At 42.8% G+C, this 20,456-nt stretch overlaps 1 long non-coding RNA gene across 5 annotated transcripts in view, besides 1 other annotated feature; it reads right to left on the bottom strand.

Annotated features, from left to right (window-relative positions):
* LINC01550 (long intergenic non-protein coding RNA 1550) overlaps nt 1-20,456 on the bottom strand; it is a 52,515-nt gene that overhangs the window by 13,844 nt on the left and 18,215 nt on the right. For 2 of the 5 annotated variants that reach the window (NR_152747.1, NR_152746.1), the window contains one exon: nt 18,477-20,367. The exons of the other annotated variants lie outside the window; for them this stretch is intronic. This is a non-coding gene — a long non-coding RNA (long intergenic non-protein coding RNA 1550). Of the gene's footprint in view, nt 1-18,476; nt 20,368-20,456 lie in introns of those variants that run through there. 5 annotated transcript variants of the gene reach the window in all.
* Nucleotides 9,665-10,164: an enhancer, noted in NCBI's record as "H3K4me1 hESC enhancer chr14:98415455-98415954 (GRCh37/hg19 assembly coordinates)". NCBI's record gives its function as "activates a minimal SCP1, AML or CMV promoter by ChIP-STARR-seq in primed H9 embryonic stem cells {active_cell/tissue: H9 hESC(primed)}" and the evidence as "EXISTENCE:reporter gene assay evidence [ECO:0000049][PMID:30033119]".

A 20,456-nucleotide genomic window follows, 5' to 3' on the forward strand; every position in this document is an offset into this window, starting at 1 on the left:
ATTGATTGTTCCACACAGAAAGAAAGTCAGCTCCTCTAGGAAACCCACTACAGCCCTTCTACCCTCCACAGGCCCCACCCAAGACAAAATACAGGCTCTCATGGGACCCTGCAGGGACCTAATGTGTGCCTTTTCTGACCTGAACATGCCCTTTCATAGTCTCTCTTTGATGACCATGTATCATCCTGTGTTAGAAGGCCAAGGACTGTCTGATCAACCTCTATTTTTACCACTCCCAACACAGACTTTGGCATTTAGAAAGTACTTTAACATATTTGTAGACAGAAAGAAAGAGAGAAGAAAGAGGAAAGGCAAGAAGAAAAACAAAAAAACAAAACAAAACAAAAACATAAAACAAAAACATGAGCTGCAGTTGTCTGACTAATCTAAGCCCTTTTTATATTCATGTTAACAGACATATAAATACTGGGAATTCTCACTGCCAAACTCAAGTTTGCAAAGCTTTAGTCTTTCATAAAATTACGTCATTTAAGAGGAAATCACCATACTTTTTAAAAGACAAGCCAGACCAAATACTGAGAAGTGTATAACAGGAGAAAAAAATAATAAAATTCAGAAAGCAATGGCCACAAATGTAATATTCACCCTCATACACACACATGCACACCGAAAAAGAGTCTGCTTTTGCTGGATCTGTGGCGGCTGAAGTCATTACAATCATTTCTAAATCTACGTTGACCAGAGTGGTAAAGTTTGTAAGATTAACCATTCTAATTGGTCTGTTATATGAATTCTAAAAATAAGATAATAGTAATTTATATCAAGTGGAAAACAAAACATAGGTAGGAATACTCTTTTACCTTCTATTATTTAGACTAATAAATCAAAAAAAAAGAAAAAGAAAAGAAAGTAAACCTCTCAAGTGGTTGAACCAGTTTATTGTGGTCTGTTAAGAGAAACATTTTCATTCTCCTCGGTGTCAAAAAAGGAAGACCTTTCTTTGTATTCATTGACCAATATCACCTCATCCTCTCTCCCTCAACCCCTGCTCAGCTTCTGTTAACCATTATTCTCCTTTCTAACTCTATATGATCAACTTCTGTAGATTACAGACATGTGTAAAATCATGCAGTTATTTGTCTTTCTGTGCCTGGCTTATTTCACATAACATAATGCCCTCTAGTTCCATCCATGTTGCTGCAAATGGCAGAATCTCATTCTTTTTCATGGCTGAATAGTATTCTACTGTTCATATGTACCATATTTTCTTGATCCATCCATCTATTTTTAAAAAGTCAAGAAACAAAGGAAGGCATTTGTAATGGAGGAAGGATTCTCTCCAAAATTTTCTATGTTGAAAAACATTTTCAGGCTTATGACATGGGACCTCTTCTCCTCCTTCAAAGGTTGGCTATTTGCTGCAGGAATAAAGGCATACCAGGGCAGTTTGGTCTGACATGGTTCTTCCACTTTAAAGCCAAGCTGGAGGAAGCAAGTTGAAATCAAGATGGATAGGATGAGCAGCACAAAGAAAACTGTTCCACAAACTGAGAAACAAAACGTCATCCACAGATGAGCTTTCTCCCACTTACTGGTGTTGCCTTGCAGGTTAGGCCTTGTCACCTTGAAGTCTTAAGACTCTCACCATTGAGTACTCCCTTGCTCAACTTGCCCTCCGACTACGATTGGCTACTGATCCTCCACTGGCTCCTTTACAAACTCTTTCCTTGAGGGGAAATGGAAAATCCAGGCAGGGTTTCAAGTTTATGTAAAGTCCTGCTGGGAAAACCTTACATTCGATGCTTCTGGTTCCATGAAAAAGTGTTTGAAGTAGACTCCAGGTACTACACATTCAAAAATAAATACTTTTTTTTTAAGTCTGACTTTTTTTTTGCATGGAGGAAGGGGAAGGAGACCATTGCCAGAGGCTGACTTTGTGTCCCAATGTCTAATATTATAAGAAACTTTATAGTTTTGATAGACTTAATCCCTACCGCAGGAATGTGTAAAATGGCAGAGTTCAACTGCCAACAAAAACCAGGACCACACTAGGAAAGTCATCAGCTTTCAAGGAGCTACCTGCCAGGTCCTGTCTGGCAAAATCCCAGCTAATGAAAAATTGCACAATGTCCCAACGTATCAAGCTGGACGTGGCTTTGCAGTGGGTCTATACAAGGTCTGGGGTGACCATCACTTCTAAGCACACTGCTTATCATGGCCAAGAAGCTTGACGTCCTTCAGAAGGGATGTGTATGAAGAGAAGCTTTCCCAGAAATCCATTTGTGTTTTTGCAAATCCCCTTATGGGTTCTTATCGGTTCTTCTGGCTATCTATGTGTGTGTGAGTGTGTATGTCAGTACCTTCTCCTACTAACATTTCTTTAATGGATTATGACAACTCACAGATCTTTCTTTGTCTTTCGTTAGTTGCTGCCATTCAGACCGATTTTTGTCTTGCATATGATTTTAATACAAGCACTTGTAATATGATTACATTAACTGTTGAGCAATATCGCCTCAGCAGAACCAAACCACAGTGTTCTTTTTTTAACTGCACTGAAAATGCCTTAGCTCTATCCACAGTGTTAATTCTTTATTGTAGCCATTAAAGTACATTGGGCAAGTGGATCGTGTTTGAAGACATGTATGTAAATACATATTTGGAGGATTGGCAGAAATGGCTCAGGAGAAAGACGTGAAGGGGATAAATGAGACGCATTTTTCTTGGAGTTGAAGAAAAGGTCTCCTTCCTCGCTTTAAAGATTCTGGCAATGTTTTAGAAATGTGCTGTCTTTCCAGTTTGGCCTTTGGTAGTATAAGTAGAAGTGGTTTCTTTTACTAGTTCTTCAGAAAAGTAAATCCAATCCAGGATATCCAGGAGTTGTGGCCAGTGAAATGAGGAAAGGAACCTCTTCCACTGTGGTCTCTGTGAAGAAATATCTCTCTATATGATTCTTAAGGTAAAATTATTATTCCAATTAGAAAAAGAAGAAGAGGAGAAAAAAGAGGAAGAAAAGGGATGATGTTGAGAAGGAGGACAAGAAAGAGAAGTAGCAAGAAGAAGAGGAAGGGAAAGAGAGGAAGATGATTTGACTTGATTCCATTCATTTAATACTTCTATGAGTGTTTCAGTCCACTTAGGCAGCCATAATAAATTACCATGGACTAGGTGGCTTGTAAACAACAGAAATTTATTTCTTGCAGTTCTGGAGGCTGGGAAGTCCAAGATTCAAGGCACCAGCAGACTCGGCATGTGATGAGGGCCTGCCCTCTGGTTCACAGATGGCACCGTCTCCACATGTCCTTGCATGGTTGAAGGGACAAGGCAGCTCTTGGGTTTCTTTTGTAAGGGCACTAACCTCATTCATGAAGGTGAACTCCTAATATGGTCACTTCGGGGATCAGGATTTCAACATGTAAGTTTAGGAGGGACATAAACACTCAGACCATAGCAATGAGTTCTAGAACTGTGTACATCTGTCCCAATTGTTTTATCTGCTTCCTTGTTTTCAGAATAGTTTGATGTCAGAATTTCTATCCATCTTAATAAAGCAAAAAATGTTCTACAATTCTGCTAACAACAGGATAAAAATTGTACCCCTTACACTGCCTCTTGACATGGAAATATTCTAAGAATTGTTTTCTTCAGACCACATAGCTAGAATTTTTCTTTTGGCCCAGAGAATGCAGTGATGTTTTCATTTAGAGAAAATGTGGGGAGTGTGTGTATGTGTGTATGTGTGTGCATGCGCACACATAGAAGGAGTTCCCTACTGGAGGAGACAAACACATTCTAATTTATCTTCTGGTTCCTGCTTGTGATTCTTTTTAGAAGACACAGAAGCCACCTAAAATTTCTGGTCTATCCCCAAATTCTCAAACCCAAATGGCTGGGATTTGTTTATTTTTTATTGTTATTTCTTCTTAACATATCATGAGTATACCATATGTGAATATAGACTTTTTCTGTGAATTTTTGTTCCAGGTTCATGTTTGATGCTTTTTGCTTGACTTAGAGACTATAGATCTGATATGGACAACAAACGGTGACCCTATCCTTATATCTCCAGAGCAGCTGCTAATAATTTCAATGATTAAACAAATGTATTCCATGAATCTGCTATCAGCAACAATTCCATTATTTCCTATGTCTCCATCTTCTCATCCTTTGATTCCAAGGCAGAAGGGTCTCCTGCTATCAGCTGATGTGCCTGCAAAAGGTCATCTGGAAATAGTCTCTTTCTTTCCCTGCTATAGAGGATGTGGCCTGTTTCCAGCAAGGAACACACTCCTGAACACTCCTACTAACAATTTCTCTTGGCAGTGACACTTGCTAGCCCTATCCAAGGGGTCTTTAGTTCTCAGAATGTCAAGAACAGCCTATGCTGATGACAGGCAAGGTGTTGCTGCCCACGATCCTGAGTCAGGGCTGACTAAAGATACCCATCCTTTTGAAGTGCCTTGGGAGGTAAATCATTTTAAAAAGCTGAACCTACTTACTTGGCAATGCCTGCTCAAACTTAACAAAAGGGTCAAGAATACTTCCCTTTAAAGATCCAAACTATAACAGGGACATTCAGAAATCATATTTTATTTGAGAACACATGAAGACTAAAAGCAGAGGGGCAGTGATGTGCCAGTAATGTTTACCAACTGGCTTCTGGTGAAACACTGCCTTGAGCTGTGGCATTAGCCTCTGTCTGTGGTGTAAATTCCTTCTGCCATGGCCAATGCCAAACTGCCAGCATGACATCTCTGAATTTGGCATTAGGAAGAGGTGCCTGCAATTGGTCCTCTCAAGCCAGGACTAGAAGCCCTAGCCAGGACTAGCACAGTCATGCTATAGACTGTGAAAGTGGAGGGAGCAAGCACAGAACTTGGGGACAGGAGATGTGGGTTGGATTTTCCAGATATGATCTTTCCCAGCTTATATAAGTTACTTTGGATCCTCTGTGAGCATGTCTAAAACATAGCGGAATGAGCACTTTCTAGTAGGGTTTTGATGAGGATCAAATGATAAAACAGTTGGGGTCATTTTCTCCAGCAAGAACAACTTTGTCTTCACCACCAACTAACATAATGCACTGTGCCATGAGCTTTTCAGCCTCATGCAGAGGATGGATCTCATTTCATCCTGTCACATCTTCCAATGTGGGTGGTGTCATTTCTATCTCACAGAAAGAAAAACTGAATCTTAGAGTGGTGAATAACCTCTCCTCCTCATCCCAGTGAATGATACCAGCTCAAGTCAGCCTATCTGCAAAGCCTACTCAATTCAGCCCCATGAGATCCTTAATGGTTTTAGCTTTTAAACTGGAAAAAATATTTATTATAGACAGGGGAAGATCCCCTTGAGTCCTAAAATTGTCATACACCTCCTCAAGAGAGGGAGGTTGCTAACACCCCCCAATGCTATGCCATCTGAATGCCATTTTTTTCTCCTCCCATCAATTAAAAAGTGCTAGGTTGTATGCAAGAGATGTTAAGTCATAACCTGCATTCTTTGAACATAAGGTCAATTTCATTCAGGGAACTATGAAGAACAGTTAGCCATATCATTAATTGATTTATGTTTTACTCCTCAGGGAGGTCACTTACAGAGGTCACAAATATGAAATTATAGAATCCTGGCTTCTCCCCCCATCTCTTTTATTTACATGCTGGGTGGCCTTGGTTGAGTCACTTCTCAGAGTATCAGAAAAGCTTCATCTATAAGCCAAGGGTATTCATAAATTCTTCATTCAATCATTGTGTCTCTGTGTGTGTGTCTGTGTGTGTGTGAGAGAGAGAGAAAGACAGAGAGGGAGAGAGAGACAGAGACAGATACATACAGAGACAGAGAGAGAGACACGAGAGAGACAGAGACAGAGAAATGATTCAGATAATGATTGTAAGCTCCTTGAGAACAGAGCTTTTGTTTAATAGGCTCAAATCTTCAGGATTTATCAGCACTATTTGATGAATCAGCGAGTCAAGTACTTGGAACAAAAATTGCCACCCAGACAGTTAGTAGGTGACTGTAATATTTATTCTAGTTCCAACGATCCTGTAAAATCCCCCTTAGACTTTTGGAAAGTGACAGCTGTGGTTTTACAATTTCCAAATCAAGACTAGACATACATATATTTTTTAATGTGAGTTTACTTTCAATGTAAACAACCTTTCCAAAGCAACACCAAACACCCAATACATTGGGAATAAACAATGCACTGCAAATTGCATCCCCAATAATCTATCATATGTACATCTCCTATGGATAATGCAACATAGCAATAATCCTTTGGTTTAATTGGGCTTGTGAGCAGTAGCATATGCCTCAAAATGGTCCCATTGACATTGTTTTGCACCCAAGGAATCAAATTAATGCTTACTAGCATACTAAGCACTGTGTGGTCCTCTCTCCCTTGAAAGTGCACATGTGTTGCTATTAGCATTAACAGGAGTCTGGCCTGGGCTTTGAGGAGTGTGAACACCCCCCCTGGGGTGCAGTAGAGAGGCCAGGAAATATTCTGCTGATTTCAGTGGGACTGTGTGTTCTTTGAAAAGCCCTGTAATGGTTCCAGAGGATATCTCTCCAGGTCTGGCTGCAATGTTAATAGATGTGTCTAGTAATAACAGCCTAATTATATGTGTGAGCATGTAATATTGACCTATACAGCATATCTTCCCCATCTTTGCCTCCAAACCACAGGGATGCCCTTTGCTAGGAACAATAGGAGCTCCTCCATATCAGATGACCTCGCCCCACTTTAACGGTGCTCATAAATACTAATCTGGCCAATTCCATCTCCTTTGGCGCCAGAAGGGCAGTTTAATTCTAGATGCTTCAACCCTGGTTCTCAGAGAGCAGAGTATTAAGCAGTGCTGATATGACTATCAGATCTAATACATTTTGCACCATCTTTCCCTAGAATGGATTAAAGTGCTGGTCTCTCTCATCACAAGGCAGAGCAGGGAATGAAATCATTACATCATGCTGGCATCCCCAGGAAGAGGAAGTAAACAATGATGTGGATTTGCCTCCTCCTCCGGAGGGCAGATGGTCTGTGTCCGGCAGACCCACCTTGTGGAGAGCCCAAGGAATGCCCCTGCCCTGCCACCTGCATGATGCAAATCAACTTCTCAGACAAGCCCCCATTCATTGTCAGGCTGGAAACTCAGCCTTCCCAAGGCCTGGAGCCTGGAAGCTGAGCAGCACTAAGCAATTATCTGTTTTGAAGGAATACACTGATTTGACATTCTTAAGGAGTCACAGACGTCTGATTTCATAATATAATTTGTAGAAGTAAAAAAGGCAAGTTAAACATTTGCTTACACATATCATGTTTACATGTGTTCAAAGAACTTTCCAAAACTTTGCAGTCTCATCCAACTGCATCTTTTTTAAGCTCGCTTCGCTCTCGTAGGTTTGCAAACAAATTCCACAGCACATTCAACCGCAAATTGATTTACTTTTGGGGAAACTCCTTGAGTTTCACGACTTTCTTCTTGCTGTTTAACGTACACACAGATGCAAAAAAGAAAAAACAATCTCCTAACACAGGAACACAAATCTGGCATCCGGAGGAGTCGATTTTTTCATTTATTCTCAAAGTGAAGGGAAAGCAGTAATGGAAGTGATCCAGATTACCAAGGAGTGTGCAAATGACTTCTTGGGCCCCGCTGGCAGTGTGACTGACAGCCGACTCCTGGGGCAGAGCAGATGAAGGGGAGAGGAGCATCCTCACATGAAGGAAGACCATGTTTCATTTATGACATAACCTGGATATTCATCTTCCTATCACTCCCTGGATGGCACTGCCACCCTCTCTGCATTCAAGTCCAGGAGGCATCTTCAACTACCTGTCTCTCTTACCTTTCACCAGATCAATCCCCAGGTGCCACTGATGGTGACTCTTCCATGTCTCTTGAGTGCTCTCCCCTTGCCCAGCCACATCCAGGCCACCCCATCACTGAGCACTTGGGCTTCTACAGCAGCTTCTCTGTGATCTTACTGCCCCCTGCCTCCTGCCATTCCATCCCCTGTTCCCCATTGCTGCCAGAGAGAGAATTCCTAACTTGAACATCTGATCCATGGGCCATCTCTTTAGCATGACTTTGAAGGTCTTTCATGGTCAAGCCCCTGCTTTCTTTCCCAGCTTCCTCTCCGTGAGCATACCTCACACTACATGCCCCAGCCAAGTTCTGCTTGTGTTTGTTTTGCCCACCCTCCATGACTTTGGCACATGCTATTCTCTAGACCAGGGATATCCTGCTGTCATTTTTCCACCTGGAAAACACCTACTTATTCTTCAAAACCAGCTCTGATTCCATTCCTGGAAACCATTCCTGAATCGCCAAGAGGGGGTTAGGACTTATTTCCCTATATCTTTAGCATCCTACACTGCCGTACCATAGCAACTGCCACTTTATGTGATTGTTTGCCTATTTAACTAGTGTCTGTCTCATTCAAATTGAGTTGTCATGAGAGGTGGGCTGTGTCTTTCATGGGTTTGCAAAACTATCTCCTTTAGAACCATATTTTTGTTACCCCTCTCTATACAACATCAAACACAGTTCCCAGGATGTGTTAGATACTGCATAGGGATTTTCAAATGAACGAATGGACACACAAACGACTGAATCAGATCATGAAAATGGACAGGTGTGTACCCACTCATAAGGCTCTGGGTCAGACTATTCTACCTGCTGGAGACCCCTCACAAAGTGATCTAAACTTACTGCCAAACAGTTAGATCACAGAATGCTGCAGACTCCATGAGTGGTGAGAGAGGGATCTCCAGGGGTCTTCCTAAAGCAGCCTCATTGCATTGGTCCCTCATCCTCAGACTTTATCCTTCATTTCCACCTAGGCAGAGAAGCCTCTGCCACTGCACCTGGTGACCTCACCCTGAAGATGCTGGAGGGATCCTCAGAGGAAGTGAGTGTGTCATGAGAATGCTAACCCCTGGAAGGGGCTGGAGGGCCCAAGAAAGGGAGGGCAGGCTGCCCTTTCTTCCAGCAGAGCTGGCCAAGAGCTTACCTGGCCAAGGACCTCAGTGTACTGAGCTGACTTCTCCTTGGCTGCAGTTCCAGAACATTCCTCTGCCTTCCATCCTGCTCCATGAGACGGGGAGCAACCTCTCTGACCCACTCCCTCCAGGTGTGCATCTCATTACTTGCAGGGCATCTCCAGCAGCCTAGTGGCGATGCCAGTGATGAAGCTTCCAAAGAAAGGGCTTCACCGAATGCAACATCAACAGCATGGAGTTAGGGAGGCCGGCGTTTACCAACAAACGCGTCTTCCAATCTGCCTGACTTCTGTCCCTGAAGAAAGGAGCATATGTCCAGCCTGGTGTCTTCCAAGGTTTTCAGTTTTGCTTTTGTTTATTTGTTTTCAAGAAGTTTATAAATAATCCAGTGTCCGGGCCATAAAGGGTGACTCCAAAAGATCCCGTTTGTGTGCGACCTGGTTGGCGGCCGGCAGCCCCAGGCAGCCCTCCTCTGAAGCCAGAGCTCTGCTATTAGGGCTTGGAAACCCACATCATTAATAGGAACCAGGCAGGGAAAGTGAAGTTGAGACCAGGAATGTGTCGGGAGGCTTCCAGCTCTGCTCAGCTGTGTGAGGCCTGGGCAAGTCACGCATCGAGGCAGCTCGGCCCCGGGGCGCTCCAGGCAGAGGGGTTGGCAAGCGGGTGGGGCTCAGGCTCCAGTGCTTTCTGGGAGCCTTTGTCCAAGTGGCTGACTGCCAGAAACCCCTCCCTGCTCTGGTTCCTGGGAGTTAACCTGGCGAAACCCTAGACCCTCGTGTGCCTCAGCTAGAATCTGGCCATGGATTGGAGGTCTCCGATCTGTTTTTCAGACCCATGCTTGCAGGTCCTGCTGTGCTGGGGGAGGGGGCCTGAATGGGGTAGAGCAGGCTCTGGGCAAATGCTTCCTGCACTGGGCTGTGTTACCATGCAGCGTGCTAAGGGCTGCAGACCTCCAGGCACGACTCATGGACCAGAAGGAAGCAGGCATAGACGCTGACCTCCAGGGTGGTCACCCAATTGAACCACCCACAGAAAGTTAATTGGATGCCATCAATCTGCTGCGGTAACTCAGAGAACCTCAGAAGAGCAAAGGAACAGAGAGGATGGATTTTAGCAAGGCTGTGGCCCTGATGCCCCCTCATTGGCTCCAACTTTGGCTAAGAGGCATGAGATACCATCAGGCTCCGCTCTGCTCCATGCTACATCCCACATGCATGCCACCTTGGAGCTGCCACATCCCAAGGGGTTCAGGGTCCCTGCCATTGGGAAGCACAGTGTCCAGCCTCTCTTCCACCCACACAGTGATTACTGCTGATTGTGGTGCCACCATTGGAAAGCTGTGTTTCCCCAGCCAATGACACTGCTCTGGTCAAGGGATGTCAAAGTGGGCAGGGTGTGAGTGGGGGTCAAGAAGGAAACCCCAGTGATGTCCAAATCATAACTAGCTCTCAGGAGGTGAGGGGAGTGGAGGCTGAGCACGGCAGGAGTCTTCAGGGCCTGGCAATACATTTGACACTAAATACATGATAAGTGGATGGTTGACCAGCAGTTCACTTTTCTACTTTTCTATTTGTGTCTTTTACTTTGTTTTTACAATGCTGGCTTGATTCCTAAGGCAGGGTTGTCAAGTGAACTTCTGATAACATTCACAGTGTCTGCCACTGTGAATGTTAGCCAGTCTCTGTGCATGCGCACAAGTCAAGAGTGGCCATAGTTAACAATAATACATTATATAGCTTCAGATAGCTAGAAGGAGGATATTGAGTGTTCCCAACACAAAGAAATGATGAATGTTTGAGATGATGGATATGCTAATTACCCTGATCTGATCACCATATATTATATATATCAAAACATCACTGGTGTACCACGAAAATATCTATATTATGTAGCAATTAAAAAATTAAATAGTGGATACATATAATTCTTAAATCATAAAAGATTTAAGAATCATAAAAGATAGTTTAGAAAATTTGGCAAACACAGAATAGATAAGAAAATACAAATCATACATGATTGCATCACCCAGAAGTAAAAACTGTTAACATCTTGCCGTACTTCATTCTTCCAGCAAATATTATTTTACACATTTGAGATCACACTGAATAAACAATTTTGCATCCTGCTTTCTCCAATTAATTTGTAGTATAAGTAGTATTCCCCCTTCCTGGGGAAGGTAATTCTGTTTTAGGTTAGGTTTGATTTTGTCTAATCAAGATAAATTTTTATTTTATTTGATAGAGTGGCAGAGAACAGAATTCCTGAGTTAACTTTAGGTACTTCAGCTGTTGATATTTGCTTATTCCCTGGATTTCTACAGCCTACTGGTAGTTTGCATCAAAAAGGATAAAATCATCTGCTACCAATGCCCAAAATACTGAACAACTCTGTGAAAGAAAATGAACCACCCTAAGCTAAGAGAGAGTTGAATTCCCCCTTACAAAAAAGCTATGTAGCACTCAGAGAGACAAGAGATTCCAGTGTCACAAAACCACTAAAGCCAGCTCAGAGACTGAAGCAGGACAGAGAGTTTCTTCAAGACACTGCTCCTGACAACTCAGTGCCTAGGCTGCCTGGATGATTTACTTTTATTTTGTATTTTACTTTTGATTAGCAATTTTACTATTACATTTATTGATTTACTCCAGGAGAGGAAGTCCTCAGGTAAGAGATAATCTTATCCAACTTTAAGCAAGCATGGTGTTTCTTAGCCAAATTAAAGACATTCAGGCCAGACCTGGATGAAAAGTTTAGTGAGATTTCAACTGATCAGGCCAAAAGGAGACAGGCATATTTTTCCCCTTTTTAGTTCAATAGGTGTGAGTTTTGGAATATGAGAGTATAGGAGGTGTGAAATAGTGGGGTAAGAAGCAAACTGAATCCTACTATAGCATCTGACCTTTATTTTATTTTGCAGGGATAAATTTAAAAAAAAGTGCTGAATTGGGCATTCAATTTGCCAATTTATAGATATGCCCAAATTTGTGGAGATATACAATGGTTCATTTTATCCATGAGTTCCTCCTCTGCATAACATACCATGCCAGATGAAGCAATTCTCAAATCCAAAGACAAGTTATGCCCCAGACCTGCATCCAGGAGCTCTGCAGCCATGAATCAGTGAAAAAAATGGAGAAATTGCTATGATGTTAATAGATGTTACAAAATAAAAGTGACAATAAGTGACAGGCAGCTAAAGCAGAACAATAAAGGGCAGAGGGTCCTTATTTCTATGTGGACATCAGAATAAAACCTCATCTATCCTAAAGAATGGTAATTAGATCAGAGAATGTTAGAGACAGGCATGGGTTTTGGAGTTGTTTCTTAGCTGGGTGGCCTTGGACAAAGCCTTTCCTCTCTCAACTCCTCCATGTTGTCATCTGTACAGTGGGGCCAGTGTTGGCTCCAAGTCTCTGTGCCCGGTGAGGCTATTGTGAGAAATCAATGTCATCATAGACAAAAGCACTCTGCATTGTACTTGCGTACATTAGGTACTCACTGAAGAGCAACTGTAGAGAGGATAAAGTTATTATCATTCACTGTAATCAACAAAGGTTTCCATTTGATACTAACACATCTGATTCTAACCTAGGATTGGTTTTGGTGACTTCTCCCATAGGTGGTGGCTATCACAGTCCAGGTGGAGTGCCAGAAAAGGAGAAAACATAGCCATAGCTGCTTGTGGAATACCTACTATGTGCCAGTGTAAATGCATCTCCTCTAACTCAACAACCCATTGGATAATGGCTGGGGTTTGAAGGAATGACCTGCCCTGGCTTACACACATGGCAGAGGACATGCTGTGCACACCTCTCCATGCTCATCCTTTCTGTCATGGGACTGAGAGGATTCCAGGGGATGATGTGAGCCAGGATCAGATACTTCATGTATCTATCCATCTTTACTTTATTCTTGCCTTTAAAGGTTACCGGACTCCTATGAGTCAGGACCTATGGTGGGTGCTGGGGTATTGAACTGAATGGACCTTTCCTTTCTTATTTCAAAGAATTTCATATCCAGAGAAGTGAAGGCCATGTGGAAAGTAAATGCAGCCAGTATAATAAAGATTAGGAGAACAGTGCTGAATATGCAACCTCCCCTCCCCTTTCCCCTTTCCCTCCCTCTCCACCCCGACCACTTTTATTTTTCCTCCTGGTCTGGATTGTCTCTAATATCTCTGTTTGGACAAAGCCTTGAACTTCCATATCCACTTTGACCTTTTTCCCACAGCTTCTCTGCTTACTTATGACTGACTGAGGCCCCTCTGCTGGGGGCCTTTCTTCTCTCTGACATTCTAAGGAGGACCTATATAGCCCATTACTTGATGTACAAGTGCCACTTTGATCCTGTTGTTGTTTCTTATCTTAATCTTGGTTTATATTTATGGTTCTACCTCTAGCTGAAGATCTACAAGCTCACAATTTTCACTTTCCTCAGCACCATCATCAAAGTTGGCACACAGTAGGTGCACTGTAGGCAGTTAGCAGAAATGCTATGATTTGCCAACTTTGAAATCTTCTCAGAGTAGAACAGGATGGAGATACACATAATCACAGAGAGACAGGGCTGGTGTGGAGTATTTCCTCCAGTCACAATGTGTAGTTCTTGAATGGCCTGTTTCCCTCAAGGGACCATGGAAATTTGATGGACAATGGAATCAGATCCAAGAGAGCCTCCAGGACTTTTGGTGAACCTTATTCCATCAGGAGAAATGTGAGAGAGGCAAAAGAAAGGTTGCAGCGTATTAGGAACAGAATATGTCTGTTAGTGGGACCATTCTATATTAGTAGATCAGCATAGGGAGCTGGGACAGTGCTGCCAAAACTGAGCCAGTCATAAAGTTAGTTGTGATCTCCCCTGTCTAGATGGTCAAAATGATTGGATTTTCTTTGCCGATGTGGAGTGATTGAAGGCAGATCCACTTTGCCAGTTGTTGATTGATGTGTGTGTTTTGTCCATTCCCTCACTGCATGAGGCTTCATGTACACTTGGTTTGGCCTCTTAGGGAACTTTCGACTGCCAATCTCAAGCAAAGGACCAGACAAGATTCTGTATCAGTGAAACTGTCCCTTAGATCAAGTCAAAGAGTGAAACTGCTTCTATCCGTCATGACTTGGGCTTTTGTTTGTCTGCCTGCCTGCCTGCCTTCCCTCCCTCCCGCCCTCCTTTCTTTCTTTCTTCTTTCTTTCTTTCCTTCTTTCTTTCTTTCTTTCTTTCTTTTTTTCTTTCTTTCTTCCTTCCTTCCTTCCTTCCTTCCTTCCTTCCTTCCTTCCTTCCTTCCTTTCTTTCTTTCTTTCTTTCTTTCTTTCTTTCTTTCTTTCTTTCTTTCTTTTTCTTTCTTTCTTCCTTCCTTCCTTCCTTTCTTTTTCTTTCTTTCTTTCTTTCCTTCTTTCTTTCTTCTTTTTTTTGAGACAGAGTCTCGCTCTGTTGCCCAGGCTGGAGTGCAGTGGTGTGATCTCGGCTCACTGCAACCTCTGCCTCCCGGGTTCAAGCAATTCTCCTGCCTCTGCCTCCCAAATAGCTGGGACTACAGGCACGTGCTGCCATGCTCAGCTAATTTTTTGTATTTTAGTAGAGATGAGGTTTCACTGTGTTGCCCAGGCTGGTCGCGAACTCCTGAGCTCAGGCAATTTGCCTGCCTAGGCCTCCCAAAGTGTTTTTATTTCTTTTGTGTTTACTTTTGGGGTTGTTTGTTTCTTTGTTAGTTTTCGTTGAATTCAGACTTAATATTGTCATCCTCTAGGCATTGGCTCTTTGGAAAGGTAAGGTTTGCAGACTTCTTCATCAGCTTTAGGCTCTAGGGAGCACAGAGTTGCTGTGCCAGTGAAGAGCCTCGGTGGGTTCTGTTTATGCTCCAGCTAGAAGCAGCCTAGGGTATATTTGCTGCTTGCTGATTATGGTGGCCCTTTTTAAGTGTGAGCTTGAATATATGTACAGATCTAGTGGAAGGTGTCTATATATTCCCCTTGAGATATTCCTCTCGGCAAAAATGAAGCAAGATGAAAGAGTGGTTTTGTGCCCATTTCTTTAGCCAACTCTGTTGCATGTTTACCGTGTGTCAGGGACCATAGGAAGGACTAATGAAGAATAGATTTATAGGGCAGAGCCTCTGTCCTCGAGATCCTTGAGGCTGGCTGGTCAACATGAGGATGACCAAGCAAGAGGCACCTTCTGTGGGTATGAAGTGATCCAAACTAGAACCTGACTGAGCCTAAGTGGGATGTAGTAGTTATGAACTCTGACTTTGAGGTCAGACAGAAAATGGGTCCCAACCTCAGGTCTGCCCTATTTTAACTATGTGTCCTTGGACTTAGTTTGGCTATGCAAATATTTCTGGGTTTGAATTTTCTTTTCTGCTATAAAATGTAAGATCAGGTAAAGTCTGAAAAGCACTTAGCTCCCAGCCCAGCACATAATTCCTGCTGAACACATGTGAGTTTTGTCATTATCATCACTATTATTGTTGTTATTACTATCATCATCATCATCTGTATTTACTGAATGAGAGAAGCCTTCACAATAAAAGGGATAATCAAAAAAGATTTTGAAAGACAGCTAGGGTGTGCCAAGGTACCTGAAGGCAGGAACTCGTCCCAGAGAAAAGAAAGAGTTTGTGCAAAGACTCAGAGCTATGAGAGTGAGTTGGGCTATTTTCTGGGATTGACAATAGTAAAAATGACTGGATTTCTTGATTTTTCTGGGATAAAAGGTGTTGGTGTATGGGCCTTTTGAGGATCTAAGGTGTAAAATAATAGATGGTGGTCAAACCATAAGAGCTCTTGAGTGGTATGCTGTGAAGTATTATTATTACTCTGGAAATAAGTAGAAGTTATGGACAACATTGGATCAAAGTTTAGCATGGCTGCCAGAGTGAAATCTGGGTTAGAGAGGAGCTTGGAGACACGTATGTCTAGAGAGTTCAGGAAGGATAAAGTACTCAAAGAAAGGGGCTAGCACTAAAAGCAGCCAAGAAAAAGGAATTATAAGAAAGGTGACTAAGATTTTCCTCCAAGGGCCGTAAGATGGACTTTATCCCCCTTGTAACCCTGAAAAAGCCTTTGCCTTCTTTAGTTCATGAAACAAATTCACAAGAAATTATATAATTGCAGGACTGAGTCTCAGCTGACTGCAGATTTAAAATGGTGAATTCTCTCTTCTGATGTCTCAGTTTGTTGGCCATGAGTGGACTGAATCCTATACAGCCAGGAGAATCTGCTTCCAAGATTTACCCCCCCCAGCAAATGGCATATGCAAGTCCAGATCTTTTAGAAGATCTGAAATAATTATTTGGAGAAAAGAAAGAAAAGAAAAGGAAAGGAAAGGAAGGAAAAAAATAAATGTATGATTTCTTCCTTGAGTACTAAGTTTCCTGGTTCTATTTAGAAGAGATTATAATTTAAAAATGTACGCCCCCATCTTTTCAGGAAGATTTCTACTGTATAATGTGACAGACTCATTGCTTTTAGTTTATTCAGAGCTGGTGCTAAGAATATGAAGATGAACCAAATGTTCTTCCTGCCCTTAGGGAGCCTGGTGTCCAGCACAGGACACAGACATGGAAGTGATAGATTGAAGGTTTTGTGGTGACAGGAGTGGGCACAGAGAGGAGATGCATCCTTGTCTGCCTGGGAGAATAAGACAGAGATTTGCAGGAGGATGAAGACAAGCCCTCTATGTCACAGTGGTGGAGATGCATTTGCCATATGGTGACCATACTTTCTGAATCAAAAATTGAGATACATGATCTGACACAAGGTTTGACGATGGGACAGAATTTTTGAAATCAAGGCTGTCCGAGGAAACCCAGGACATATGGTTGCCATAACCAATCATTACTGTGCACACAGGGGGCATGGTTTGATCCACAAACAACCAAAGCCAGGATTCAGGCAGACAATTTATATCAACGCTTGACTGCATATGTGGCAAACTGTATTTTCTGACCCTATCTATTGGCCTGACCATGGCTGGACACTCATTCATTCAGAGCAATCCTAAACGAAGTTGGGCATGCCGGAATGTAACAGACTTTAGAAACTACCTGGTCCAAACTGCACCTTACCATGCCAGTGGAGAAACTGAGGCTCAGAAAGGGGAAGAGACTCTCTCAAAATCATGCAGCTCCTACAGAACAGAGCTGGGTCTGGGTAATTTTCCTTCCCCTCACCAGGGCTGGATTTGAGAGACACATCAGAAAAGCCCATGAATTGAGAGAAAACACAACATGCCAGCCTTGGTGTCACTAAGGCCACAGTCAGTAGATTCACTCCCGACTAAACAACCAAAGTGTCACATTTGATGGCCTTGAGCTCAGATCTCTCCAGAATATTGATGAGGCTGCCAAGCTGAATGTGAGAATGCCAGGCTGTTTAAGACGCAAAGGAGGTTGTTGTAACACGATTTGTCAATGCCAAAGAGTTCCAAGGACTCTGAGTCTTCAACATTATATTCTACTGATCTTTCTCCATTGGTGGTGAAGCGATAATGAAAAGAGAAAGCTCATGGAAATAGACGAGGTATTCACGTATGCGCATTCGGGAGAGAGAGCTGTCTCAGCTGGAAAAGTGGAAAATCAAAAGTCCTCCTGCCTTTCCCCAAGATGGCACTGGAGAGGGAACCCACCTGAAAGCTACACCCATTGATCTTGAATCTCTGGTCGTTCTGACTTGGGAAGAGGCTGAGTTCCAGACGTACATGCTGCCAAGAAACACTTAGTGCCTTCACAGCCAAAAAAAATGTAACACGCCTGCCCAGCATGTGAGAAGGGCAAAAAAAAAAAAAAAAAAAAAAGTGGTTTTTCCTCTGGGGCTGACAAATACCAGCCCAGAACTCTGAGATTAAAATGCACGACAGACATGCTCTCCCTGATGCGGGCCTGGACTGGAGAAATAATTTAGAAGAACTGATGGAATGGCCTGTGCTTGGCTTGCATGCCTCTTCCTCTGGAATTCCAGCATAGTCCCACCTCTGGGATCCAGAGCTGGTTGTGGGCATGTGGTCTAAGCTGGGGACCACCCATGAGTTTTCCTTCCTTTCCTCTCCTCTCCTTTCCCCTCTTCCTTTTCTAGTCTTTATTTTTCTCTGTTTATCTCATTGGTTGTCTTTTGTCTTTCTTCTCTTTTGCCTTCTTTTCTCTTCTCTTCCATTTCTTCCCATCCCTTCTCTTTTCCTTCCTTCCTTCTCTTCTCTCTTTTCATTTCCTTGTCTTTCTCCCCATCTGGGGTGACATACAATAATGCAAATTAAATATAAATTGCTTTGTGCCTAGATGCTGTTGGGATCTGAGATGCTCTCCCAGCTTACTGATCGTTCTTAGCCATCCATTCATATTTTCATCCATCCACCCATCTACCCATTACCATCTCCTGCCATCCTCCCAACCAAGCATTTGTCTATCCTTCTCTTCAATTCACATCGGCAAGCATTTCCCAAATCACATATAAGCACCAGGGACCCAACAATACCCTATGACAGCAGAAATGAATATGACCTCAACCTGGAATTTGAGAAGTCACCCAGTGTAGGAGGCAAACTTATAATTATTACTTAGTAAATGTTTGATAAGGGCAGAGCCTTCAGTCCATCAGTCTATTCTGTGCAGCCTTTTTTTCTTTTTTTTTTTTTTTTTTATTTTTAGAGACAGGGCCTCGTTTTATTGCCTCAGCTGCAGTACAGTGGCACTATCATAGCTCACTGCAGCCTTGAATCCCGGGCTCAGGGGATCCTTCCTCCTTAGCCTGCCAAGTATCTGGGACTACAGGCATGTGCCACCATGCCCAACTAATTTTTTAAAAAATTTGTAGAGAAAGGATCTCACTATGTTGCCGTGAATGGTCTCAAACTCCTGGGCTCAAGTGAACCTCCTGCCTCAGTGTCCCAAATGCACAGAGTACAGGCCTAAACCACTACACCCAGCCTCTGTGTACTCTTTAGGTGAAAAGGAGTTAGTCCTTTGAAGAGGAGAGAAAACACCAACTCTCTAAGTTGAAGGAGCACATAGGAGGTGCACATAGGGTGACGACGAATTGTCCTGAATTGCCTGGGACTGAGGCGATTCCTGGGATGCAGAACTTTCAGCTTTAAAGCCAATATAGTCTCAGACAAATCATGATGGATTGGTCACATTGTGTATGCATTGGTCTGTGTGGCAGGCATAATAACAGCCACCCAAAGACGTCCAAATTCTAATTTCTGGAATCTGCAAGTATGTCACCTTATAGGCCAAGACGGACTTTGCAGATGTGATTAAGTAAAGGATTTTGAAATGGGGAGATTATCCTGTACTACAATTGTCCTTATAAGGGAAAGAAAGAAGAGGGTGAGAGTCAGAAAAGGGAGACGTGCTATGGTTGCAGAGGTTAGAGTGATGCAGTTGCTGGAAGTGCCCCACAGCCAAAGCAAGCAGGTGACTTCCAGGAACTGGAGAAGGCATGGAACAGATTCTCCCCAAGGGCCTTCCAAAGGAACACAGCCCTTCTGACATCTTGATTTGAGCTCCATGAGACCCATTTTGGGCTCTGACCTCCAGAACTTTAAGACAACAAATGTGTGTTGTTTTAAGCCACTAAATTTATGGTAATTTGTTACAGCAGCAATAGCAGACTAATACACTCTGCTTTCCAAAAAATCCCCCAAAGACTTGAATGCAGGTTGCTTTGCTGCCTTTCTATTGCCCCAGGGCAGATTCTGGTTTCTCCCAAAATACCATTCCTTTATTAATGAAGGAGGCAGTGTGGGAAGTGTTGAGAGCACATTGAAAAGCAACCATTTACTGATCATCCAGGTTAAGCTGGAGCACTAGAGTGGGAATTCAGATGCTTCAGCTGCATGTCTGGCTCTGCCTTTCCTTGCTCTGTCAGCTTGGTCTACCTCTCTGGAATCTCTGGTTCTTACTTATCTCTAAAATGAACTAAATAACATAGAATTATCATCTCAAATTTATAAACTTTGGTAACATTCTTAAGTGATCATGCATTCGTAATGTGTTTGTGACTGACTCCAGAGCATATGCATTTTTGGGGGGTGACATCACACCCAAGAGGATTAAAATGGATTCTTGGATGGGGGGCTCTTACTGTTTCTGTGTTTTAGAAACAGATGTACAGATGATACATAACCGAATACACAGTATACCTGTGGTATGGAAGGTTCATGGGGTGGTGACAAGGAAAAGTGTCCAACACGTCTCCTTCCGGGAGTGCTAATGGCAAAGAAAAAGGCTGAGAATCATTTGTCTAGTTATTGCACCACCTGTTGCTATTTGATAACGTGTTTTAAAGGGCATGGGAAAGATGATGAAGCAGAGGAATCTCAGGAACTTTCTGGAGTCAGATGAATATAAATCCAATTCTTCACGTGGTTGTAGATCTGTACCACTCTGAGATCAGTCTCTTTATCTGTGACGGAAGACAGAACTGTTCTCAGGTTGTTGTTGGTATTTCATTAGATAAGACAGAGAGAGATACAGATATATAGGCAAATATAA

This window comes from Homo sapiens, chromosome 14, assembly GCF_000001405.40.
Source record: "Homo sapiens chromosome 14, GRCh38.p14 Primary Assembly".
In the NCBI taxonomy this organism is placed as follows: Eukaryota; Metazoa; Chordata; class Mammalia; order Primates; family Hominidae; genus Homo; species Homo sapiens.